Consider the following 27400-nt stretch of genomic DNA (forward strand, 5'->3'; position numbering starts at 1 on the left):
GTACAGTGGCATGATCTCGGCTCACTGCAAGCTTCGCCTCCCGGGTTCACGCCATTCTCCTGCCTCAGCCTCCCGATCTTTGTATCTTAAACACATCTCATCTTCCTCCTCATGATGCCAATTCCCCACCCCCAGGAGACAATCCCCTACCTGGTGAGGCTGATTGATTTTGAGCCTCTAGGGTAGCACAGAGCCACATGTATAGAGGGTAAGTGATTACTTTGTCTGCCAACATCGTCTTTATCAGAACCGCTGGACAGATCATTTAATGCAGGGGTCCCCAACCCCCGGGCCATGGGGCTGGTACTGGGCCATGGCCTGTTGGGAACTGGGCCTCACAGCAGGAGGTGAGCAAGCATTACCGCTTGAGCTCTGCCTCCTGTCAGATCAGTGGTGACAAGATTCTCATAGGAGCACGAACCTTATTGTGGACTGCACATGCAAGGGATCTAGGTTGTGGGCTCCTCATGAGGATCTAATGCCTGATGATCTGTTACTGTATATATTAACATGTAATAATATATACATGTATATACATTATATATTACAATGTAATAATAGTAGAAATAAAGTGCACAATAAATGTAAAGTTCTTGAATCATCTCAAAATCATCCTCCCCCACCCCTGTCTGTGGAAAAATTGTTTTCCACGAAACAGGTCCGTGGTCCCAAAAAGGTTGGAGACCGCTGGTTTCACGGGCACCCTTGGCTCCCAGTCACATATGAGTTGGGACTCTTGGTTATGGAAGAAACCCATGCAAATTAGCTTAGGCCAAAAGAAGGGGTTAGTCACCGTAAGGTTACAGCTCGTGAACAGACCCGGAAGGGACAGCACACTCTCACTGGCAGAGGTCAGGGTGGCTGGAAAATAGAGGTAGCAGGGGTTGCATTTGAAAGGGCCTTGTCAAAGGTGCATGGTATGTATTAACAGAAAGCAAATTCACAGATCATCCAGGCCTGGAGGATGGGTTGGGAAGTGAGAGTGAGTTCAGGAAGGACTTATTAAGTGGATGCCAGCTATCCAGTGAGGGATGAAAGTGGCCCAGCTGACCGTGCAAAGGTGGGGATAGAGTGAGTACATAGACCCCAAGGAAATCAGAGTTGGCTGAGCTGAAAGTAGGGCGGAGCAGCACATGTGCAGGGTGAGTGTCCTTGCCCACACAGGGAGGAAAAGAAAAACGTTTGTGCAAAAGGTTAGGCAGCCAGGGGAAACATGAATGAAACCAGTGTCCTTGAGCTAGAGAAAGTGACACTGTTGTGGATCAGTCGCATTTTCGCTTCCTTACAAAAGCTCAACAGGGGCACACTGTGGTTGGTCAGATGGGAGTGCACAAGCATGAAAATCCATGGATTTGGTATTTGAGTCTTCTCAAATTTTAACTTAAAAATGAAAACATGAAAATAAGTGTGTGAGTTTAGAAAAAGTAAAATGCTTGACTTTCTTATGCGGAATGAAGATTGTGCCTTTACAATCAAGGAGTTCCATATATTCTGAGTGGTGGGAAATGTGATTCCACTAAATATTGAACTGTCCAAAGTTACTGGTGAAACACAGGCACATACACACACACACACTCAGATGGTTAAGATTTCGTGTGCTGCTTTTATAAAATCTCATTTTTTCACAGTTGTATTTTCCAGTCCATAAGTCTGCTATTTCTTTAGTTCTTGCTCAAAGCTTGAATGAACGTTGAAAAGTTTGGGCATCACACTTTTGGTCAGCCACTGCGTGCTGGCCAGGCTCCAAGGAAAGACGACCCTCAGGGGCTCCAAGGAAAGGACAATGCTCAGGAGCTCCATGTTCGCAAACAAGTGGGAAACAGCCTCTTAAAAACCATTTCAATACAATAGGTTTTAACAGATGCATGCAGTACAATGAAAGGAAAAAAGGGGCGTTTAGCTCATATCCTAGAAAAATATCTAAGCCTGAGATTTTGAAGAATTGTCTGAGAATGATAAACTATCAGACTTGAAAGTGTTTAATACAGAATCTTCCTCAATGGATTGGGCATCCTTATCCCTTCTCCCTGTTGTTGGCTACATTGCAAGAACTCTTTTGCAGTAAGATGGCACTTGTAGATAATAAAAGTAAAATGCTTTTGGGGTCTTTCTTTTGACAGTTTTTGAGATTAGTTTAATGTTACTTGTGTGCTGTGAGCTTTAAGTTTTGATGAGCTGAATCTTCAAGCAGATAAAAGATTTTTACAGTTGCTCAGTGTTATGTAGATTGCTTATAGGTACAAAAATAAAATAAAAATCCAGGCACAGTGGCTCACATCTGTAATCCCAGCACTTTGGGAGGCTGAGGCGGGTGGATAACTTGAGGTCTGGCGTTCAAAACCAGCCTGGCCAACGTGATAAGACTCTGTCTCTACTAAAAATACAAAAAAAAAAAAATTAGCCAGGCACAATGGTGGGGGTGGGGGGATGTGTAATCTCAGCTACTCAGGAGGCTAAGGCACGAGAATCACTTGAACCCAGGAGGTGGAGGTTGCAGTGAGCCGAGATTGCGCCACTGCACTCCAGCCTGGTGGACAGGGTGAGACTCTGTCTCTAGATAAATAAATAAAATAAAATACAAACTACAACTCTTAGTATTTTCACTATGGAAAAAATAGAAAAAAATTTTCTATTTTTAGAAAATTTTTAGTATTTTCTAAAAATCTCTAGAAATCCTAGAGATTTCTAGGATTTTTTTTTCAATAAATTCTTTCACACATGCCCATGTTTATATATCAAAATCCATGTATACATCTAGGCAGGGTTGAATTATACCCATGTTTACTAATTTAACTATTACTATATGCATTAAATGTAATGTGTTACCTAATGTTTAATGTCACTTTTATAAACGTGCTTTACATGTGAGAAAAATAAACAAAAAGACATGAGACAATTAGGGTTCAGCCCTTTCTGCCCTATGTCCCTTCCCCAGAACTCAGAATCTTCTTAATTGGCACAGATCCCTAAAGGGAACAAATGTGACAATTAGAAGTCTGCCCTCATTATAAGAGGCTCACAGGAATACCTGATATTGAGAAATACTCTTATTTTCTGAGTGGCATTGTAAGCGATCCTTGGACACAGCATGAAGGACTCGTGTGTAGGAGCAGGCACACTTTTTTACTCAGGATAGAACAAACAAGCAGCCAGAAAAACACATACAGCTAGACCATTTCACATTCGTTTGCCTTTGTCTAGCCCTTGAATGTGCCTTTAAGCACCCACTGTCTGTGATTCCTAATCCTGAGTCTCTCCAAAGCAGTGGTTTCACACCACATTGACAGAAGCCTCCGCGTTCAGACACCCAACTCCTTAAAGCTAAAGTTCCTCTGATTCTCTATTTTACATATTCTGGTTCTATGTAAAATTTAATTTGAAACTGGGGTTCTCTGGGGAAAATTAAAACAAAGATAACAGATCCCAGGTTTCAGATGTATGATACCATTCTAGTCACATCTGAGTCACCTGCAAATGGTGACTAAAAAAGACGCAGAGGAAAATTAAAGGGCCACTTTGCATGGCTAAGCAGAGGAAGAATGGTTTTGCTATCTGGTTTCTGGAAAGAACGGTTTGGTTTCCTTGGGGCCAGTCAATAGAAAGTTTGGGTTTCTCCTGAGCATCCAGTGACCATGTGTTGCCTCCAGTGGCTGTCCACCCCTCCCCATGTGTTAGGAAAGCCATCTGATTAAATAAAGTTCTCTAGGGCAGCAGTCCCCAATATTTTGGGCACCAGGGACTGGTCTCATGGAAGACAATTTTTCCACAGAGTCCAGGGTTGGTTTGGGGATGAAACTGTTCCATCTCAGATCATCAGGCATTAGTTAGATTCTCATAAGGAGCATGCAACCTAGATCCCTCTCATGCGCAGTTCACAGTGGGGTTCACCCTCCTATGAGAGTCTAATGCAGCCACTGATCTGACAGGAGGCAGAGCTCAGGCAGTAATGCTTTCTCACCTGCAGCTCACCTCCCGCTGTGCAGCCCAGTTCCAAACAGGCCAAGGACCACTATTGGTCTATGGTCCAGGATTTGGGGACCTCAGCTCTGGAGTGTGAAAGACTCACAGTATCACCTCCACCACCCAGGTGCCTGTTGTTTTAAATGATTTTTTTTTTTTTTGGAGACAGGGTATCACTCTGTTAGTCTGGGGTGGGGTGGGGTGATCAAAGCTCACTGCAGACTACGACTCCTGGCTCATGTGATCCTCCCCGTCAGCTTCCCTAGTAGCTGGGACTACAGGCATGCACCATCACACCTGGCTAATTTTTTAAAATTTTCTTGTAGAGACAATGTCTTGCTTTTTTGGCCAGGCTGATCTTGAACTCCTGGCCTCAAGCAGTCCTCCCACCTTGGCCTTCCTACATGCTGGGATTACAGGCATGAGCCACAGTGCCTAGCCTTAAATGAGTCTTGATAGGTGGAATTTCAGAGCATACTGGGAAGATGTCCTAAATATCCCTGCTACATAAGAAATGGGTTTGTCCCCCAGTTCCTGACAAAGCCCCATTTTCTGACACATCATCATTGCTACTGGAGGATCCATGGAGATCCCTTATGAGGGAGGCTGGACCCTTATCAGCCTGGGTTTTCTGGGTCATACATAGTGGGTCTCAGAGCCAACCAGCCAACTTTGCAAATGCTGTTTCTTTCTTAGTTTCTGCAGCTATTCTACTCCTTGATCCAAAGGTGTGTCTTGTTCTGCTTACTATTGATGTCATTCAGAGATAACCCTAATTACTTCTCTGCTTCCTTGATCTTCTCCCAGTGTCAATCCAGATCAAGAATAATTCTCTGGACTAGCCCCTGAGCGAGGTTCTTGTCCCCTGGGATTGAATGAGCTCAGATGAGCTCCCTGGCCACCACGTCAAAGCTTCACTATTTCTCTCCTTCGCACTCAATCTTAGTAGCTTTTTTTTCTTTCCTTATGAAAAAAGGCTGTCAGCTCACAATAACAAAAACAGCTCCAGGGAATTTTGTTTCCTTTTTGGGGGATGCACAAAGTTTTTATTTTAACCAACTCATTGACACACTAGAAAACATTGTCACTATGTCCCTTCCTTTACCACGTGTGGATAGTAAGCAAAGAAGAATGGTTTAAAGTAGTTGACATTTTGCTGTGCCCCTAACAGCAACTCAGATGGAATATACTTACTCATCTCTGTTTTGTTCTATTTAAAATTTTATTATATAATATTTGAACAAAAGGAATAGGTATATGTATATATGAGGCATATTAATAAAACAAACACATCTCCCAAACTCAAGGATTAGAACAGCTCGAGGTACCTATGGGCTCCCCAATCCCATCCTGCTGATTTCCTGATATCCTTTTCCCAACATTTTATTATGAAATTTTTCTCTTTTTTTTAAGTTGAGGTATAAGTTTTTGTTGGATTTCATGTTTTTTTTTTGATGTACAACACGATGTGTGTGTACACATACACATACACACACACACGCAGTGATGTGGCTAAATCAAGCTGATTAACATTCATTCCCTCGCACACTTACCATTTTCTTGTCATGAGAACATTCAGAATCCACTCTCAGCAATTTGTAAGTATGTAATACATTGTTATAGCTACAGTCACCATGTTGTACAATAGGTCTGAACTTACTACTCTTCTTAAGTGACATTTTGTATCCTTTGACCAACATCTTTTCCATCTCTTATTATGAAAATGTCCCAGCATACAGGAAGGTTAAAAGAATTTTGCTGTGAACATTGTCATTATTTTTAAAGTTAAACTTTCTCTGGGGATTTTTGAAGACCATTTCATGAACATCAGTGCTGACCGAGTTAGGAGTTTCCCTTACGGTGCAGGTTGTGAATTTCCAGATGAAAGACTCTTTATAAGCACCACAAATAACTGTCAAAAATGCAACCAATGTGAAGGCAAATAGAGTAAATCTAATCTTTGCTAGACCTTGTCCGTGGATGTAAGATGAAGTGTTTTGGGAAAAGCATGAAACCTTTGTGTAACGAACAAGTCATGAACGCACGGAGCTAACGTTTCACTCCAGGCTTGTGCAAACTGCCCGCTTTGATAAATGCAGCCTTCATGACGGCTTTTGGTTGTTCTAGTCACGTTTTCCTTCTCACAGGCGCACCTCATTTTAACACCCTCTCGGTTCTGCCACCTTTTCAATACCTAATTATATCTCAAGTCTTAAATTTCTCTTACCCACCAGAGCACATTTCCTCTTAATGCTCACAGTGCCTAATGGCCAGCTCAGATTTGGATAACCTTTTGGATAATTCTTCTCAGTGAGCCATGTAGTGTTTTCTCAGCAAAATGTTTACCTATTTTGCAAGTACTACTTGAGGAGGAAAAATGGATTTCCTGATACAGTAGACAGCATTTGCAAATAAAAAGTGGCAAATATGGGCAATTTATTTGGTAAATAATGGCAAACATTTGTACCCCTGGATTCAATTCTGGAGTCTGTTACTGTGTGTAGAGGACTTTGTGGCTGAACTGTAAAAGAAACTCTCAATGTCTCCTTTTGCTCTGCCATATTTTTTTCAGAAAGCAGAAAGAGGCTTCAGTCAGAAGGAGTATACAACAGAACTTCAATAAGAGGTCGTGAAGCAGTCCTCATTTTGTATTTTAGGACCATTTTCATTATGAATCTGTGTCTCAGTTAATTTTCTGTGGCTATAACTGAACATCTAAGACTGGGTAATTTATAAAGAAAAAAATTCTTTATTTGAATCCTGTAGGTTGGGAAGCCCAAAGTTGAGGGGCTTCATCTAATGAGGGCCTTCTTACTGGTGGGGACTCTGCAGAGGCCTGAGGTGGCTGGGGCCTTCACACAGTGGGGGGCTCACAATAGATGGTCAAACTGGCTTTATAACAGACCCACTCTTGTGATAACTAACCCCCTCCCTCAATAACCCATTAATCCATTAATCTACTAAATCATAAATAGGTTAACCCATGCATGAGGGCAGAGTCCTCTTGACCCAATCATCTCCCGAAGGTCTCACTTCTCAACACTGCTGCATGGCGGACTAAGTTTCCAACACATTGACTTTTGGGGACACATTCAAACCATACCACTATGTGATGTTCTAGAATAGGGGCTCTTTCTCTAGGGACTGGGGGCCCCTAGGTCTGAGTTTCTAGAAGTTTGTCTAAAGGCCACCTGCATTGCAATTACGAAGCAGTGCCTGTTCATTTGCAGGCTCCTGGGCCTCTTCCTGAGATCCCTTAGATTACTATTTTTGAGGCTGGAGTTTGAAAATTTGCATTATAACAAGCTCTCTGGCTATTATTTTATGACATTATAGTTTGAGAACTACTCCTCTAGAGTTTCAGGGTTGAAAATTGCCTGAAATTGTAGGCAAACATTTTTGCGATTTGCATATAAACTTTTTTTTTCTATGGCATTCAACATATTTGGAACTATTACTCTAGAAAACAGAAGCTTGGACCCTGGAAGAATATTGCTCTCTCACACATTTGGGATTAAGTGGCTCAGCTTCTGTGGATGATGCCCAGAGAGGCTTAATGAGAACTTTGTAGGAACAAGTCCCAGCACTCTTCTCTCTGATCATTGGTGGTGGGGCCTTCCACAGTGAATCTACCAGTACACAGGTCTGATCATGTCACCCTTCATTCAAAAAGGTCATGTGTTCCCTAGTACCTAATGACCAGAATCTCAGGATCTGAGCCTGATCCCAGGGCAGTCTGGACTGAGTTTGTCCCTCATCAAGTTTTTCAGTGTATTCCCCACAGTCATCTTTCCCGTGCTGTCTTCCAGCCAGGGTTTGAGCCAGCATCCTTTTATTCTCCATGTATTGTGGTTTTAAAAAAGACTGTGGATTCAGACAACTTGAACTCTAGCCCTGGCTCTGCTACTTGTCACCTGTGTGAGTCTAGGCAAGTGACTTAATCACTGTGAGCCTTCATTTCATCCTTAATAATATAAGAAAAATAGCACCTACTTCAACCCGTTTTGTGAAGGTTAAATGAGTCTGTGTGAACATGAAGCTTAGCACAGCGTCTGGCACAAACACTCTGGCTGGCACCCTTCCTCCCATCTCAATGCCTTCTCCCCTTCTCTACAAATCCCAAACCTATCCATCTCCTCCTGAAGTCTTCTCAGTTCTTCCCTTTACTCCCCTACAGGAGGCACTGTCTCCCTCTTCTGAATACTGGTAACACATTATTTTCATCTTTCTTTAGCACTTAACCAATCCTGGCTTTGTGAACTTTTCAGACATCTGTTTGATCTCCCCTGCCCCTGTGGGCAGGGTTTTTTTGGTTTGGTTTGGTTTTTGAGACAGAGTCTCGCTCTGTCACCCAGGCTGGAGTGCAGTGGCATGATCTTGACTCACTGCAAACTCTGCCTCCTGGATTCAAGCAATTCTGCTTCAGCCTCCAAAGTAGCTGGTACTACAGGTGCCCACCACCATGCCTGACTAATTTTTGTATTTTAGTAGAGACGAGGTTTCACCATGTTGACCAGGCTGGTCTCAAACTCCTGAACTCAAATGATCTGCCCGTCTTGGCCTCCCAAAGTACTGGGATTACAGGCGTGAGCCACCGCACCTGGCCAGCAGGGTTCTATCTAACTATCCCCATGGACCGAGCCACAAGCTTTCTTGCACATAAAAGGTGCAAGACTGGAACTTGGTTTTAATGCTATTCATGATAGACAGGAATTTAGTGTAAGATGTATTCCATGTTACCCAGGAATTTACTGGATTAAATAAGCCACCACTTGGTAACATGAAAGAAAGTGCCAAATATCAAGTGATCCTCCAGCTTGGCCTCCAGACAGCTTTCTGTAAAGCTGCTGCTTTCTATGATAGCTCACATGTGTTGAGCTCCTCAATGCTTATTAGGCACTGGTCACTGTGCAGAGCGCTGCCTCCTCACACTCGCCCCTTGTCTTGCGTTCTCTCACATCCCTAATTTAAAGGTGAGAAAGTGGAGGCTGAAAGATGGAAAGAAACATGTCCAAGGTGCCACAGCTAGAGGTTGGGCAGCAAGGGGGACTGTATGCTTTGAATCACTGTGGTTCACTACCAGAGCCGCTGTGGCGTTCCTCAACTCCAGCCCACTTGGACCTTCAAGGCTTACAAAGATCCTTTCATTGTAGATTCTTTAAATTAAGGATGGCTTGTTAAAATGGAAAGCTCAATTGCAAAAGCAGCCTTTTCAGAACACTTCCTGAAAATATCTTTTTTATGGAGCATGATACCTGATTCATATTCACCAAGCACTGAAAATAATATTGTCTAGAGAAAAAAGCCTTGGAGAATATCAACTACTTTCTTAGAAGTGCCAGGCCCTTCACAAGTAACACCGAGGAAAAAGAAAGCATTTTCTCCAGAATAATTCATCTCCTTTCCTCCGCAGTGAGAAAACATCAAAGTTGTTGACACTCAAAAGGCACAGGTTCTTGCTTTCCGCAGAAAATAATAAATGCAAAATAGCCAAACCAAGATGCTGGAGAGAGTGGCTGACAGCAGCACCCAAGGGCTCCAACTTGAATCGAGCTGTATTATTTGTGCGGCATCAAGGTGAAGCTGAAGTCTACAGCATTGAGAGCAAAGGAGACTGTAATATTAATAGAAGCCCCTTACTCCCAAGTCTGAGAGTTCCAAGTGTGGTAAAAATGGCAACCTTTGCTTGAATTATGCCATGCTTCAGTAGAAGTTCTTTGTGCTCAAGAGCTAGGTGTGGTACTAAAATTGAATGGCTTTATATTTTACTGGTACCTGAACGTCTTAACATGGCTATGTTCACCCATTAAAAGAAATACCATTGGTTATTTGGGAGAATTGTATATTTGCTAAGTTTGTTGTTGTTGTTGTTGTTGTTGTTGTCGTTTTTGCTGAGACAGCAAATACATCTAAATGCAAGGTTTATACTTTTTAGTTTTAAGAACAAATGACTACAAAGAAGTGTTTTAAATATATTTAGTATTGCTTATTGTCTGTATTAAATACTGCAGCATAGAATATGACTGCCTTAATTTATACCTATGGAAAGTTAGATAACATCCAAATTTTCCCAATAGTAGCCCATACCTCAGTGTTATATAAAAGAGCCTAAGGGAGAGTTCATTTTTGAAAACATGATTGAGATTTATTTATCACCATGTAAATCGACCCTGAAAGGTGCATTTACTAGCGCAGTAATTTTTATAGGTAAAATGAATGAAGGTTCAATTTGACCAGGGATGTTATACAGGAACCTTTGCTTTATCTGTGGAGGGTAAAATAATCAGACATCTCCAGCAACCTTAGATCTGACACCCTGATCCTGTGGCCCCCAAATCAGTAGAGGAGTTTCACAACTGCACTTGCCAGTTTACGTTATCTGCCCTTAGCAGAGTTGGTAACATTCCCTTTTATGCAAGATGCACTTTGCAGAGCCTAAAAGAACAAAAGATGGGGACATCACCAACTTATAGCAGAGGTTATGTGACTGTTTGAGCCTGCTGGTAATGAATGTTTGCCCAGGATTACTTTCACTGCACTGTGGCTCCTGGGACAAGCTGTGTAGGTAGAGTCCTCTAGCTCCCACTCCTTTTAATGGTTGGAGGGTGCACAAAAAACTTCAGGATTTTGAGTAATCAAATTGACTTATATTTTTATTGCTTTCTAAGTTTTATTTTATTATTTTATTTTTTTATTTGTATTTTTATTTTTTTTGAGATGGAGTCTTGCTCTGTCGCCCAGGCTGGAGTGCAGTGGTGCGATCTCGGCTCACTGCAAGCTCCACCCACTGGGTTCACGCCATTCTCCTGCCTCAGCCTCCTGAGTAGCTGGGACTACAGGTGCCCGCCACCACGCCTGGCTAATTTTTTGTATTTTTAGTAGAGACGGGGTTTCACCGTGTTAGCCAGGATGGTCTCGACCTCCTGACCTCGTGATCCACCCGCCTTGGCCTCCCAAAGTGCTGGGATTACGGGCGTGAGCCACCGCGCCTGGCCAGTTTTATTTTATTTTTAATCGACACATAATAATTATACATGTTTATGAAGTACAATGTGATGTCTCAGTACATGTGCACATTGTTTAATGAACAAATCAGGGTAATTAGCAAATCCATCACCTCAAACATATATAATTTCTTTGTAGCAAGAATATTTAGAATCCTCTCTTGTAACTATTTTGAAATATGCAATACATTATTGCTAACCATAGTCACCCTACTGTGCAATAGAATAGCTGAACTTATTCCTCCTATCTAACTGTAACTTTGTAACACATTGGCCGACCTCTCCTCATTCCTCTCTCTCCCCTAACCTCCTCAGCCTGTGATAACCACTATTCTACTCTCTTCTTCTATGAGATCAACTTTTTAAGATTCCACATATGAGGGAGTTCATGTGGTATTTGTCTTTCTGTGCCTGGCTTATTTCACTTAACATAATGTCCTCCAGGTTCATCCATGTTGTGGCAAATGACACCATTTCATTCTTTTTTATGGCTGAATAGTATTTCATTGTGTATATATACCATACTTTATCCATTCATGTCTTGATGGATACTTAGGTTGTTTCCATGGCTTGGCTGTTGTGAATACTGCTGCAATAAATAAGGGAGTGCTGATCTCTTGGACGTATTGATTTCATTTCCTTTGGATAAATATTCAGCAGTGGGATTGCTGGATCATATAGTAGTTCTATTTTAAATTTTTTGAGGAACCTCAACACTGTTTTCCATAATGGCTGTACAAATTTACACTTCCACCAACATTGCATAAGGGTTTCTTTTTCTCCACACCCCACCAGCACTTGTTTTCTTTTATCTTTTTGATAATAGCCATTCTAACTGGAGTGAGACAGTATCTCATTTTGATTTGCATTTCTCTGATGATTGGTGATGTTGAGTATTTTTTTACATACTTGTTGACTATTTGTATTCTTTTGAGAAATGTCTATTCAGATCTTTTGTTCATTTTAAAATTGAATTATTTGGGTTCTTTGCTATTGAGTTGTTTGAGTTCCTAATATATTCTGGATATTAACTCTTTGTCAGATGTATAGTTTCCTAATATTTTCTCATATTGTTTTTTGTTTGTTTGTTTGTTTTTGTTTTGAGATGGAGTCTCACTCTGTCGCCCAGGCTGGAGTGCAGTGGTGCGATCTCCACTCACTGCAAGCTCCACCTCCTGGGTTCATGCCATTCTCGTGCCTCAGCCTCCCGAGTAGCTGGGACTACAGGTGCCCACCACGCCCGGCTAATTTTTTGTATTTTTAGTAGAAATGGGGTTTCACCATGTTAGCCAGGAAGGTCTCGATCTCCTGACCTCGTGATCTACCTGCCTTGGCCTCCCAAAGTGCTGGGATTACAGGCGTGAGCCACCGCGCCAGGCCTCTCATATTCTTTAAGTTCTCTCTTAACTCTGTTGATTATTTCATTTGCTGTGTGGAAGTGTTTTCATTTGATATATTTCCACTTGTCTATTTTTACATTTGTTGCCTGTGCTTTCAATGTCTTATTTAAGAAAGTATTTAACCAGTCCAATGTCATGAAACATTTCCCCAATGTTTTCTTCTAGAAGTTTCATAGTTTCTGGTCTTATATTTAAGTCTTTAATCCATTTTGAGTTGATTTTGGTATATGGTGAGAGGTAAGTGTTAAGTTTCATTCTTCTGCCTGTGGACATCCAGTTTTCCCAGCCCCATTTACTGAAAAGATTGTCCTTTCCCCAATGTGTGTTTTTGGTCCCTTCACAGAAAAATCAGTTGGCTGTAGATGTGTGGATTTATTTCTGGGCTGTCTATTTTGTTCCATTGGTCTACATGTCTGTTTTTATGCCAGTACCATGCTGTCTTGGTTACTATAGCTTTGCAGTATATTTTGAAGCCAAGTGGTATGATGCCTCCAACTTTGTTCTTTTTTCTCAAGATTGCTTTGCCTATTTGAGGCCTTTTGTGGTTTCATACAAATTTTAGGATTTTTTTCTATTTATGTGACAAATGACATTGGTATTCATTGGTATTTTGATAGGGAGGGTATTCAATCTGTAGATCACTTTTGGTAGTATGATCACTTTTGGTAGTATGATCATTTTCACAATATTAATTCTTCCAGTCAATGAACATGGGATATCTTTCCATGTATTTGTGTCCTCTTCAATTTCTTTCATCAGAGTTTTATGGTTTTAAATGTAGAGATCTTTCACTTCCTTGGTTAAATTTTTCCTAGAAATAGATTTTTTTTTGGTAGCTATTTTAAATGGTATTGTTTTCTTGATTACTTTTTCAGATAGTTCACTATTAGCACATAGAAGTACTACTGACTTTTATATGTTGATTTTTATCACTATATCTTTATTTTAATGCAAGTTTTTATCAAATATTTTTGAGCATCTCCTAAGCGCAGTGCTCTGTGAGGGTAAGTACAGAGTTGTGGGGAAAAAGGCATATAAGATATAGTCTTTTGTGTAGGTACACATCTACCATTTGCACTTGACCTCACTACTTAGGTTATAACTGAGTTACAGTAACATCAGTCTCATAAACCTTTCCCCTGTGAGAACAGCTCTTCCACTTCTACCACAAGTCTCACTTCCCTGTCGACCTGGTAGGTGGAGCCAGGCTGGAGAATAGATACCTGGTTTTCCTCCCTTATTCCTAGTTTTCCTGCTCCTGCCTGCAGGTAAATATAATGCAAACATCCTCCGCCCTCAATACACAATGTAGACTCATTATTAAGAAAAGTAATTTATCTACTATAGTCAGCATGAGTTAGTGTCATTGGTATGCTGGTAAACATTTAAAACCTGACAATTTTTGAAAAAAGAAGAATATATATACACATACACTTATTTAAAAATATTGCTGATATAAAGGATGTGTAGCACACAGTTTAAAAATAATAAAATATAAAATCTTCTTTATATAAATTCTGTGAAGTCAATTGATTTTCATACAATGTTTACCTTGATTTTTGCCAAATTTCTGACTATCCATAGTCAATCTATGGTTACAACTGATGAACGAGTATAATTCAAATTGAATGTTGTTTGATACTTTCATTTATCTTAACTAATAAGACATATGTTGGAACTTCACTTATTCTTCTGGAATGTGAGTAACTATTTTGCTAAGGATAGAATTTTTCTGAATACTGGAAGAATATATCATCAATGTTTTTTGCTATTTACAGTATAACAAGTGTAGGCACACTTTTAAGTTTAATCTATGCTATTAACATTTTCTTCATCACTGTTTTAAGACTACACAATTTAAAAAAAAAATCAAGATGTGATTTGTAGCATTTGCCAATTCTTTTATTATTATTATTATTTTTTTTTTTGAGACAAAGTCTCGCTCTGTTGCCCAGGCTGGATTGCAGTGGCTAGATCTTGGCTCACTGCAAGCTCCACCTCCTGAGTTCACGCCATTCTCCTGCCTCAGCCTCCTGAGTAGCTGGGACTACAGGTGCCCACCACCATGCCTGGCTAATTTTTTGTATTTTTAGTAGAGACTGGGTTTCACTGTGTTAGCCAGGATGATCTCGATCTCCTGACCTCGTGATCCGCCCGCCTCGGCTTCCCAAAGTGCTGGGATTACAGGCGTGAGCCACCGCCCTGCCAATTCTTACATTATATTCTCACCATGTCCAATTTCAAGCTATCAGTGTGATGCTACCGAACACTGAGTTGGGCAGAGATGCCCAGTAGCAGACCATTATATAGCTGTGATACTATGAAATATGTATTTGGTCTTCATCCCAATTTCCTGAGGTAGAGTTTCTAAAATCCTTGGAATCTCTGGAATAATAAGAGTGCTTTTTGTATGCTAAAGAAATGGCTGGTGGCTGGACGTCCCTAGATAGCTTCAGGATAGGGGCTGGTCATAAGAAAGAACATTAGAGGATTGGGACTTTCAGCATTACCCCTCAACTTCTGGGGAGCAGAGACGGGCTAAAGGTTGAGTTGATCACCAATGGCCAATGATTTAACCAATCATGCCTGTATGCATCTGTTCTCACATTGCTGTAAAGAAATATCTGAGACTGGGTAATTTACAAAGAGAAGAGGTTTAGTTGGCTCATGGTTCTGCAGGCTGTTCAGGAAACACGATGCTGGCATCTGCTTGGGGAGGCCTCAGAAAACTTACAGTGATAGCGGAAGGTGAAGGGGAAGCAGGCAGGTCTTACATGGCTGGAGCAAGAGGAACAGATGAGGGGAGGTGCCACACACCCTTAAACAATGAGATCTCAGGAGAATTCACTCACTATACAGTACCAAGGGAGCATGGTGTTGAACCATTAGAACCACCCCCATGATCCAGTCACCCCCACCCCCTGCCAGGCCCCACCTCCAACATTGGGGATTACACTTTAACATGAAATTTGTGTGGGGATGCAGATGCAAACCCTATCAATGCCCGTGTAGTGAAGTTTCCATTAAAAACCCAAAAGGACAGGGATGGTGGGGGGGAAGGGGCTGGCTTCCTGATGGCTGAACACATGGGGAGATTCCTGAAGGGTAGCACACCTAGAGAGGGCATGGAAAGTCCACTCCCCATGCCCCAGAGCTTGCTCTGTGTGTCTCCTCCATCTAGCTGTTCACCTGTATCATCTGCAATATCCTTTACAATAAACTGGTAAACGTAAGTAAAGTGTTTCACTGAGTTCTGTAAGCTCCTCCAGCAAATTAATCAAACTCGAGGGGTAAATAGTCGGAACTGTCTCAATTATAGGTGACAGCCTGCTTCTTGCAACTGGCATCTGAAGTGGGGCCAATCTTGTGGGACTGAGCCGTCAACCTGTGAGATCTGATGCTATCTCCAGGTAGAGTGTCAGAATTGAATCGGAGGACACCCAGCTAGTGTTTGCTAGAGAATCCCCTGAAAGACTGCTTGGTGGGGAAAAATCCGCACACATTTTGGTGGCCAAGGGTCACAGAAGTATTCTTTGCTGATTATTGTATGAGAGTAGGAGAAAGCATTTTGGCTTGGTTTTTTTCTATATTTAATAGTAGAATTTCCATCATATAAATTCAGTACACACAGAATAACTTCAAAAGCACAGATGACTGTATAATATAGTAAAATCATTAGGATAGAATGAGTTTTGAGTATTTGTTACATTTTCCTTTAATATAATTTAATTTTAAGTTATATAATTTAATTTGTAATAATGATTTCATGGTTTTATTTAACAATTGGCATGCAAACTTTCTGAAAATTTAACAATCTTCTCTCACAAGGCAGTGTCGGCTGGCTCCAGCAAGCTGGGATGGGATATGGGTTAGGTTGTATGTTGAAGAACCCTTAGATGTATTGCAGGAGAGGATGGGCCTATACTACTCAGTAGGTCCTGGATAACAGGTGGTTTCCAGGGCTCACTTGCTCAAAGATCAAGAGCAAGATAATCGTCATAGAGCTTCTTTGGGAATTTCATGCTTAGAGGTCACCTCTCTTAAACAGGAGGATTCCATTAGAACACACCTTCTCTGATTCATTTCTAACCCCTACATGATTTATTTGCTAATTTATAAAACATAGCTCTAGCAGTTTGTGCTCATTATCTGTTTGTGCTTTATAAATTACCTAAAAGTTAGTAGCTTAAAGTAACTAGTACACACCTACACCACATAACAATGTTTCAGTGAAAGATGAACCTTGTGTATGCTAGTGGTCCCATTAAGATTATGATACCATGGCTGGGCGCAGTGGCTCACGGCTATAATCCCAGCACTTTGGGAGGCCGAGGCGGATGGATCACGAGGTCAGGAGATTGAGACCATCCTGGCTAACACGGTGAAACCCCGTCTTTACTAAAAATACAAAAAAATTTACCCAGGCTTGGTGGAGGGCGCCTGTAGTCCCAGCTACTCGGGAGGCTGAGGCAGGAGAATGGCATGAACCTGGAAGGCAGAGCTTGCAGTGAGCAGGGATTGCACCACCGCACTCCAGCCTGGGTGACAGAGCGAGACTCCGTCTCAAAAAAAAAAAAAAAAAAAAGGATTATCATACCATAATTTGACTGTGCCTTTTGTACATTTAGATATGCTTAGATGCACAAATACTTACCATTGCATTACAATTGCCTGCAGTATTCAGAACAGTAACATGCTGTGCAGGTTTTCAGCCTAGAAGCAATAGGTCATATAGGTTATATAATACAGCCTAGGTGTGTCTTAGGCTGAACCATCTAGGTTTGTTTAAGTACACTCTGGGATGTTCACACAACGATGCATTTCTCAGGACATATCCCAGCACATATTAAGTGACATGAATGTATTGATGATTTTCTCACAGTTTCTGAGGGCAGGTGTCTAGAGTGGCTTATCTGGAAGGCTCTGCCTCAGTCTCTCATGAGGTTGCAGTCAAGACGTCAGTCAAAACTACAATGTCTGAGGGCTTGACTGGTCTGCAGGGTCTGCTCCTATGAGGACTCACCACATGGTTGTTTTCCTTGCTACCTGGACCTCTCCATAGGGCTGCTCAGTTGCCCTCACAACATGGCAGATGCCTCTTCCAGAGCAAATGATCACAGAAGAGAGCAAGTCAGAAGTCATGATGTCTTTTAAGACCTGGTCCCAGAAGTCGCACATCACTTCTACTCTATTCTCTTCACTAGAAGTGAGTCACTAAGTGCAGCCTTTCAAGTGGAGGAAATTGGGCTCCACCTGCTGAAGGTAGTGTCAAAGAATCTGTGGACGTATTTTGAACCACCACATACCATAATTTTGGGTAACTTAACTCATTTTTGTTATTTTGATTCGTGCTTTCAAATTTTAGGGTTTTTATTTTACTTTTTAATAGTTCATTATATTATCTATATTTTATTCTTTTAGATACTATTACCTTTTACTCATTCTAAAATCGTTTTTGTGACTTCTATTACTAATATTCTTATGTTGTTTGTGTGAAATTTTGATTTTATGTGATTGAATTTGGGCTTTTCCTTTATATTATAATTTTCTTTTCTATATTAACCGTGATAATCTTTAAATAGTTGGATTTCTTTCCAACTCCTTCAAGCTTGCCTTTCTTGTCTATTAGTGTGCCTTCTCACCCAATTCGACCAAATAGGTTCTGATAATTATCCGATTCTTTTGGTAATTATAGGTGAGCTCCAACATTTAGAGGTAGATGGGAGCTCTATATCTCCTACCCCAAAACTACACTAAAAAGTGATATACTACAGCACAAGTCAGTCCCAGACTGAATTTTTTCACATGTGCAACCATCTGTTACCAAGCAGGCACTAAATGGCTGAATGTCCCATCAGTGGACTCCGTGAAGACCCCACTGCTGCCTTTTTGGCACCGTAGCACATACCTTGTAGGAAGGACTAATTCCAGCACAAACATAACAAATGTCCTGATGACAGGAGTGGCTTACCTTGTGAGGGATGTTCTCTGGGCACAGGGCAGAATGTGGTTCCAGACTGAGGATGTCTCTTCAAAGGGATTGTTTTCGTGGCTCACCAGTTTCTTCAGCCCCATTCATTCCAAGTTGGAGATGCCTGTACAATACTCTGGTTAATGAAAAGTTATTTCCAAATCCCACAGATCAACTAGCAATCTTCTCTGATACAGATTTAGATTGAGGTTTTTGAAGGAAAGCCACATTCTGAACTGAAGACTCCTGTAGGAGCTAAATAACTGCTCCTATGATTGGTGTGTGGGGATTTTAAATCAAGGAAATTCAGTGTTATTTACCCAACACTAGGTTAGTGGTTAAACTCAAGCACACCATCTACACGAAGGCATTTTAAAGCTAACTCCTGACAGATGGTGTGCTTGAGTTTAATCACTAACCTAGGGCTGTACCCTCTAAGTGAGAATACTGTCTCGGTCAGCACTGACTAGGTTCTGCTGTGAGAAACCCCAGAATCACAGGCAACTAAAATGTTGGAGGTGTTTCCTTGCTGGCTCATAGCTGACACCTCTGAGATTGTTGGGCCAAAGGGAAATTGAGGGCTCTGAGGAGTTCAATAAAAATTAAATGTACTGGCTGGAAATGACACATGTTACTTTGGGTCACAATTCATTGGCCAGATGAGACTCCTGCCCCCGTGCCATATCTGGCCAGAAAGAGCAATCCTGCAAGTGGCTGGAGGGGGAAGAACTGGGGATACTTGGCCAACAGTACAGTGCCTTCTGCTAACACCCTCCTGCCATCTTGTCATTGGGGTTAGAAACAATTCATGAAAAGTCATCGGGGAATATCAATTACAATTATAGGACTGGTTCTTTTAAACAGCCTACATTTAAGCCAATCCGTGGATTCCTAGAAGCTGTCTTCCCTCTGCAATACATCCTGAGTGATGCCCACAGGGTGAGGCGCACTCGGCTAATCTTACACTCGTTCGCTTCCTTTCTCACGGTTGAGTTGAATGCTTACAGAGGCAGTTGTGTGTTTGCCCAAGCTTGTTTATGCCAGTAATACTTACTTTTACAATGACATAATTTAGTTAAATAGTACATAATATTATAAAATATAAGGACAGAAAGAAAGAACAAATCTCTTTTAAAATTGCTACTGAAATAGGAACTGAATAGGCCATATCATAACTACTCAAATTTTAATGTGCACACAAACCACCCAGAGAGCTTGTTAAGGGGCAGATTCTGATTCAGTAGGTGAGGGTGGGGCCTGAGACTTCGCATTTCTAATTAGCTCTCAGGCGATAGGGACATTGCTGGTCCACAGATTACACAGTGAATAGCAAAATATGAGACTGTTACAAAAGCTTATTGGAAAATCATTAAAATACAAAAAGAGATTGTGTGCAGGTCGCTTTGCTAGTACTTTAAGTTATTCAAGAGCTCACTCCACTTTAAAAAACCTAAATCTGGATATCATGAAGCTGCTTCTTCTCATAAAGATAATGTGAATACCATTCAGTAAAACACATTAAAAAAAAGAAAGAGAGAAAACTTGACCTTATTATGAAAAATAAATACATGGGGTTAAAAGTAAAAGTTTCTGGAGGCATTTTATTGTTTTTAAGTGATTCATTACATAAGAAAACTTTTTGCACTGGAGAAGAGTTTCTACCATATTGTATTAAATGCATAATTACCAATGGAAGTTGATAACAAGACTCTTGGCAATTAACCAAACTTTAAGTAGATACGTCTCATAAAATGTCAGTCAGGGTCACCTCACTGCCCAGTTCCAAAAGTGCCTGGTATATAGAATACAGTAGCAGACCTGCAACATATTTTGAATCTCGGGGCTTTTTGTGTATTGTTTTGTTTTCTAAGAAGGGGAAGGTTAGTAACATTCAATATTTCAGGAGCCAATATTGGGAGAGAGAAAAACTTACTGAGTGTTTTCAAGGCAAATAAATGCTCTTTACTTCTGACATTTCCTTCACACACCCCTGGTCACAGCTGTGGAAATTTTTGTTGTTGTTGTTGTTGTTTGTTTGCTTTGTTTGTTTGTTTTTTGAGACGGAGTCATGCTCTGTCGCCCAGGCTGGAGTGCAGTGGCATGATCTCGGCCCACTGCAACCTCCACCTCCTGGGTTCAAGTGATTCTCCTGCCTCAGCCTCCTGAGTAGCTAGGATTACAGGCGTGTACCACCACGCCTGGCTAATTTTTGTGTTTTTAGTAGAGATGGGGTTTTACCATGTTGGTCAGGCTGGTCTTGAACTCCTGACCTCATGATCCGCCCACCTTGGCCTCCCAAAGTGCTGGGGTTACAGGCGTGAGCCCCTGCGCCTGGCCAGAAATGTGTTTTATAGTCACAGTAGGGAAGGGGAGGGATAATGTATTTCTTCATTGTACAACTAAATCCTGATAAGCTTGAGGGATTTTCAAAGGAAAAATGACAATGAAATACATTGATACAGTGGAGCCATGGATTGAGAACTATTTCTCATAATGTATTCAGTTGTCCGGTGATGTATTTGTGGAATAATTTCAGTCCTCATCTTTCTATGCTCTCTCCAAGGACCAGAGCTTGCTGCTAAAGGAAAGATTGAGAAATGCTCTAACCATCCCAAATGGGGCAGTCTTAAGGTTTCCAAAAAACCCATCTGCACACAGACCCTCTTCCCAGAATGCTCTCCCTCCATGTTCCAAACTCATCTCCTCCCTTATTCAAGGCCTCTAAGTTCATAAGGGATTATTCTGTGCAAACTATTCCTCCCTGATTTAGACCCAGTCTTGTTTCTGGCTGCTAATAGGTCACTGCATGACTTCATATCAAATCCCAAACTGGAGTCTGTCTCAAGTATTAATACCATTCTGTGAAAGACAAGAATATTTTCCCCCTTCCATAAGCTGTGTAGGGAAGGACCTTGGTGCAAGTACCCACCAAGCAAGCTATCCCAGAAATCACAAAACAAAAAGGCTCACAGACCAAATTAAGATGCTTGAATCCCACAGTTTACTAAATCAATATAAAATGCAAACAGTGGAAAACTGCGGAGTAGATTAACACTCTTGGGTTATATATATATATGCAAGAGGAAGGCACACACTACCTAAATCCTGGGCTAGTCAAGTTCATGTGTCCTGTCTGTCTGCCATAGGAGCCTTCTCCAGTGATGGTGTCATTAAGAGGCCAGAGTTGAGTTTGAGCAAGAGTACCCCCAGACTAGAAGATACCTGAGGCCATTGACATACACTAGCTCTATTACAGCGATGTAGCCAGCCTATAGCTGTAGCTTGCCAGTTAGCTGCTAAACTGCCATGCTTTCTAATTACACTTCTTGGACAAAACACATGCAGAGCCAGAATGGGGACATGCGAGGTGTCACCAGTGGATAGTCAATGTCAGGCGTGGCCCAGCTGTCACCATGTGTGTGCTTATAACTTGGGTCTATCCATCCTTTTCTAGCTCTAAGTAACACATTTTTGCCATCATATATTCCATTTTCTATTTTTAGCCTTTCAGGTTTCTAATTTACTGTCAGCATTTAGCATATATGATCAATTCTGCCCATGTCTTGCAAGCCATTTGCTTACTCATTCTCGGGACTTAACACAGACTACAAGGTTCTCCTGTGGCATACAAACCACTTGCTAACTCACTATGTATGCTTTTACATTGCTTAAGTATTTCATCCACTTAATTTGCTTTTCTTGTCTTCTTCAGCAGAATTGAATAATCTCAAATAATACAGCAAACTCATATTATGCAGTAGAATAGGAGGACTGATGGAAAACACAAGGTGCAAAATACATTTTTGATGGCTTAGCCAATAATTGGTGCTCCTTTAAAAAGTGGCACATTACTCATTTAGAAGAAATAAGACCTAGTTGTTGTTTTTTTCTTTTTTTTTTTTGAGATGGAGTCTCACTCTTGTCGCCTAGACTGGAGTGCAATGGCATGATCTTGGCTCACTGCAACCTCCGCCTCCTGGGTTCAAGCGATTCTCCTGCCTCAGCCTCCTGAGTAGCTGGGATTACAGGCATCTGCCACCACACCCGGCTAATTTTTGTATTTTTGTAGAGATGGGGTTTCACCATATTGGCCAGGCTGGTCTCAAACTCCTGACCTCAGGTGATCCACCCGCCTTGGCTTCCCAAAGTGCTGCGATTACAGGCGTGAGCCACCACGCCTGGCAAGACCTAGTATTAATAGATCAGTAGGGTGACTCATTAACATTAATTGGTTATACATTTCAAAATAGCTAGTAGAGAATAACTTGAATGTTCCTGGCATAAAGAAAAGATAAATATTTAAGTTGATGGATATTCCAGTTACCCTAATTTGATTATATGAATGTGCCAAATTATTATTACTTTCACACCAACCTAATATGACATGTACATTGAGTATACATATATCTAATATGTATCAATAAAAATGACTAAATACGTAAAGATAAACTTCATAAAAAGAAAAAAGTGGTACACTATTGAAGATTCTTTTTAAATAAATTCAATTAAATCTCCTAATTATATTAATAACTTACGCGTGCTTATTTTAAGACATTGGAAAATATAGAAAAGTATAAAGAAAAAAATTGTCCTTAATGCTACCAGCTGGTGACAATCAATGTCAACATTTTGGTATACTTTATTTTTTAGATCTTATTTTAATAGATATCTTTCCCCATCTGTTAAGGTTGTACATACATTTCTATATCCTTACTGTCACAGGGCGAACCCCAAAATTGGGATTCAGCCTGGAAAGCCACCTGGGCTCTTGGCTTTACACAGGAAGGACTTCAAGAGCCGGCTCACAGGGTAAAGTGAAAGCAAGTTTTTTAAGAAAGTAAAGTCATAAAAGGGTGGCTACTCCATAGGCAGAGCAGCCCCAAGGGCTGCTGGCTGGCTGTTTTTATGGCTATTTCTTGATTATATGCTAAATGATGGTTGCATTATTCATGACCTTTCCAGGAAAGGGAATGGGAATTCTGGAACTGATGGTCCCTCCCCCTTTCACACCATATAAGGTAACTTCTGGACATTGCTATGGCATTTGTAAACTGTCATGATGCTGGTAAGAGTGTCTTTTAGCATGCTAATGCATTATAATTAGTGAATAATGAGCAGTGAGGACTACTAGAATTTGCATTTGTAGCCATCTTGGTTTTGGCAGGTTTTGGCCGGCTCCTTTACTGCGTCCTGTTTCATCAGCAGGATCTTCGTGACCTGTATCTTGAGAAACCAGTCCTGCCGAACTCCTATCTCATGCCCTTTTCCCAAAATATTATATGTATTATATCTTCCTATCTTACTTCACGTGTTTTCTTTTTTTTTGAGATGGAAACTTGCTCTGTCGCCCAGGCTGGAGTGCAATGGTGCAATCTTGGCTCACTGCACCCTCTGTCTCCGGGGTTCAAACAATTCTCCTGCCTCAGCCTCCTAAGTAGCTGGGATTAAAGGTGCCCACCACCACGCCCAGCTAATTTTTATATTTTTAGTAGAGACGGGGTTTCACCATCTTGGCCAGGCTGGTCTTGAACTCCTGACCTCAAGTGATCCACCCGACTCAGCCTCCCAAATTGCTGGGATTATAAGCATGAGCCACCACACCCGGCCACTTGATGTGTTTTCTATCTAGTGGGAGACTGCCTTTCCCTGCCACTGGCTGTGACCAATTATTATTTTAGAGAGACAGTTAACAACTGCCTGACCTTTTGCCTGATGGCTACAGGTTGACATTCCTGGGTGGCCTCTCCTGCCTTGCTTGTGTCTGCCTAACTATGTACTCTAACAGAAAGACCTAGTAAGGGAAGGAGATTCTCTGCAGATTGTGAATGCCCCCCACAAGAGACAGCTTTGCAGGGCCATTTCAAAATATGTCAAAAAAGATATTTTGGAGTAAAATGCTTTGATTCGCTTCAGCACTGGCTATGTGTTATGTGATGCTATGCAAACATGTTTGGAATTTGGCATCTTATTGTTGCAAAGAGTCTGTTCTGTCAATCTTGGGATCTCTTTTAATGTTAATGCTGGTCAGTGGTGCCTGAACTCCAAAGGGAGGAGGGTATCATGAGGCGTGTCCCATATGGCCTGAACTGGTTTTTCAGGTTTCTTTGGGTCCTCTTGGCCAAGAGGAGGGTCTGTTCAGTCAGTTGAGTGGCTTGGAATTCTATTTTTTTGGTTTATAAGACCATGGTAATTTCTGTATTTAGTCAGCATTTAATCACTAAAACTTAATCTTAGTAGACATTTTTTAAAATGCTGAACTAAAGTGAGATTTTCTCTTCCTTAAAAATCTGGGATGCTCGTTCATTCTCTGATCAGTTCAGATGCAGTGTATGAAGAACCATAAAGCTAGTGTTACAGCTCTTTTAGAATTTGTCTAGCAGGTTTTCCAGTCTTTACCAGAAAGCCACTCCTACCCCAAAAAAAGAAAGAAAAACCATAAGCCTGTGTGTGTGCTCCCTGGACCCTTCTTTTCCGCAAAACCTTGCTGAAATCAGAGACAAGGACCTTCTTTTCTTGGCTAGTCCCTGCCCTGTCCTTTCTCTGAAATCCTTTAAGATGGCCAAGCTCTGTGGATTCAACCAGGAAAATGCTTCAACAGAGGGGGAAGGAGATGCTCTCCACCCTTTTTTTTTTTTTTGAGATGGAGTCTCACTCTGTCGCCCAGGCTGGAGTGCAATGGCACGATCTCGGCTCACTGCACCCTCTGCCTCCTGGGTTCAAGCAATTCTCCTGCCTCAGCCTCCCAAGTAGCTGGGATTACAGGCGCCTGCCCCCACACCTGGCTACTTTTTGTATTTTTAGTAGAGACAGGGTTTCACCACGTTGGTCAGTCTGGTGTCGAACTCCTGACCTCAGGTAATCCGCCCTTCTTGGCCTCCCAAAGTGCTGGGATTACAGGCATGAGCGCCCGCTACCTCATCTCAGGCAGGTCAGGTGAAGGTTTCTCTGAAGGACTGTTTTTTAATGAGGGAGATTTTTTTCCCAAGACTTTGGCAATCATTGTGTTCCCCTTACCTACTGCCACAAGTATGATTTACTTTCCACATAGAAGGATTCCCAGATCCTAAGAATGACTTAATAGCAATAGATAACTGTCACATATTGCTAATTCTATTTATTTCCCAAGAAAAAAGAAAGAAGTGTTAATGGTATGGTGTTCATTACTGGGGCTTCAGTCTTAAAAGGGGAATATAAACTTCGCAAAGCTGTGCACTGCACTGTGTGTGAGGTCGCACAGTCTGGGAGGCCCTGTGCCACCTTGTCAGGCTTCCTAAAGGAGCTCTCAACTCCCATCCACACACAAAGGCATCTCCTGGGGGCCAGGCCCTGGGCAAGGCTGGCTGCCTCAGGAAGTTGCCCACACAGCCACAGGGCGGCAGATCTGCCTGGTAACTTGAACGACCAGTAGCCCTCCCTGCTTGGTAGCCACGCCTCTTATGTTACTGCCCCAGAAAGCAGAGCCCATGGGCATCATCACTTCCATCTCTTAGGCTGGCACCATTGATACTGGTGGGCTGGGGTCGGTCCCCAAATACCAGTAGGACCTGGACTCAAGCCGATGTCCAGACTTTTGACACCATTGTGAGAAGGAACTTGAGGATGAATCCAAAAATCATGAAAGTTGGGAGATTTATTTGCAAAACAAAATTACATACTCAAGAAAAGGAAGTGCAGGCATATTAAAGAGAGAGTTTGCCCCATGGATTTGGGCTGCTACCTTTATGGATTTCTTTAACCAAGGGGTGGAATACTCATGAAAATTCCTGGAAGAAGGTAGAAATTTCTCAGAACTGTGGTGCCACCCATTTTTACACCAAATATAGGTATTCCCAGAACTGTCACGGGGTGGTGGGTGTGTGATTGAGGATGTTAATGAGCGTATAATGAGGTTCTAGGAGAAACCCAGGCCAAATCCAGCACCACGTTGGGTCCAGTCGGTCTTAGCCAGCTTGGTCCACACCCTGGTTTTTCAGGATTTTATAAGCTCATAGCTTCTGCAGCTATTTCAGGTGTCTTTTTGCTAGTCATGTGAAACTGCCGCCTGGAATTTTCCAATCTCCTGCAACCACTTTGTATTATTCTTATCTTACCTCCAGTGCTATAGTGGGTGAAATCCCTCCTATGACTGACTGTTCTCCTTCCTCTCCAATACTGTTAGGAGATATGTGTTTGTTTCTTAATTTTGACACAGTATGGGATTTTGATATTTTGGTATTCTAAAGAATTTAGTATTTTGCAGGTATTTTAATATATAAAAAGGTAGGCACTGCCTCTATCTTTACTTGATTTTATCTGAACCCAAATAGGTCTTATTGTTTCTAAGACAACTATTTCAATCAGTGTCTAGGGTTTATTGCATTCAATTGTTCCGTTTTGCATAAGTGAACCATGCTTTGATGACAAACAGCCAGCACCTCTGTGATGATCTCATTCAGCGTTGGAGTCCAGGGTAGTTTGCCACAGGTCCCGGCTCTCAGAGGGTAACTGCATATGCATGAATCTCTTGCCTCATTGATTTAATGCCCTCAGGATGAGTGCAGTGGGCCACTCTCTCTGCACACTTCTGACCTGAGCGGGAGATGGGCCGGGCTCCAGAGAGAGGCTCTAGGAGTGTGTTTTGATAGTTTTTTCCACAATATGCCCAGCTACAAAGTCAGCTCAGCAAGTTTTTAAGTAAGTTTGGAGTTACATTACATACCTTTATTTATTAAATTTAAATCTATGGTGGTTTTAAAACATATGAAGAATAATTTGTAATATTTTACATTCATGTGCATCAGAAAGTGAGAAAAAATTAAACTATGTTTTAAATTGAGTTTTATTTTCCCCCTGCCCTTGAGCCATTTTTTTAAGTATATACATGGTAGTGTGTGCATCATATTCATTTCATAAAAGCACCGATTGTTGTAGGAGATCAGTGAGCTAAAGGACGGGCACATATCTCTCAAATGCATTCATATTATCCAATAAATTAAATTCTTAAAGAAAAGAAAAAAGACCTATTAATTGGAACACAAAAGCCCCCATCCCTGGTCCCAGTGCACCTTTCTCTAAGGTGATGTAAT

At 41.4% G+C, this 27400-nt stretch overlaps 1 protein-coding gene and 1 pseudogene across 11 annotated transcripts in view; both read left to right on the plus strand.

Moving 5' to 3' along the window:
* HECW1 (HECT, C2 and WW domain containing E3 ubiquitin protein ligase 1) overlaps positions 1-27400 on the plus strand; it is a 453355-nt gene that overhangs the window by 57093 nt on the left and 368862 nt on the right. The window lies entirely within an intron of this gene.
* On the plus strand, positions 24683-24743 carry RNU7-35P (RNA, U7 small nuclear 35 pseudogene; annotated as a pseudogene).

This window comes from Homo sapiens, chromosome 7 (assembly GCF_000001405.40).
Source record: "Homo sapiens chromosome 7, GRCh38.p14 Primary Assembly".
NCBI lineage: Eukaryota > Metazoa > Chordata > Mammalia > Primates > Hominidae > Homo > Homo sapiens.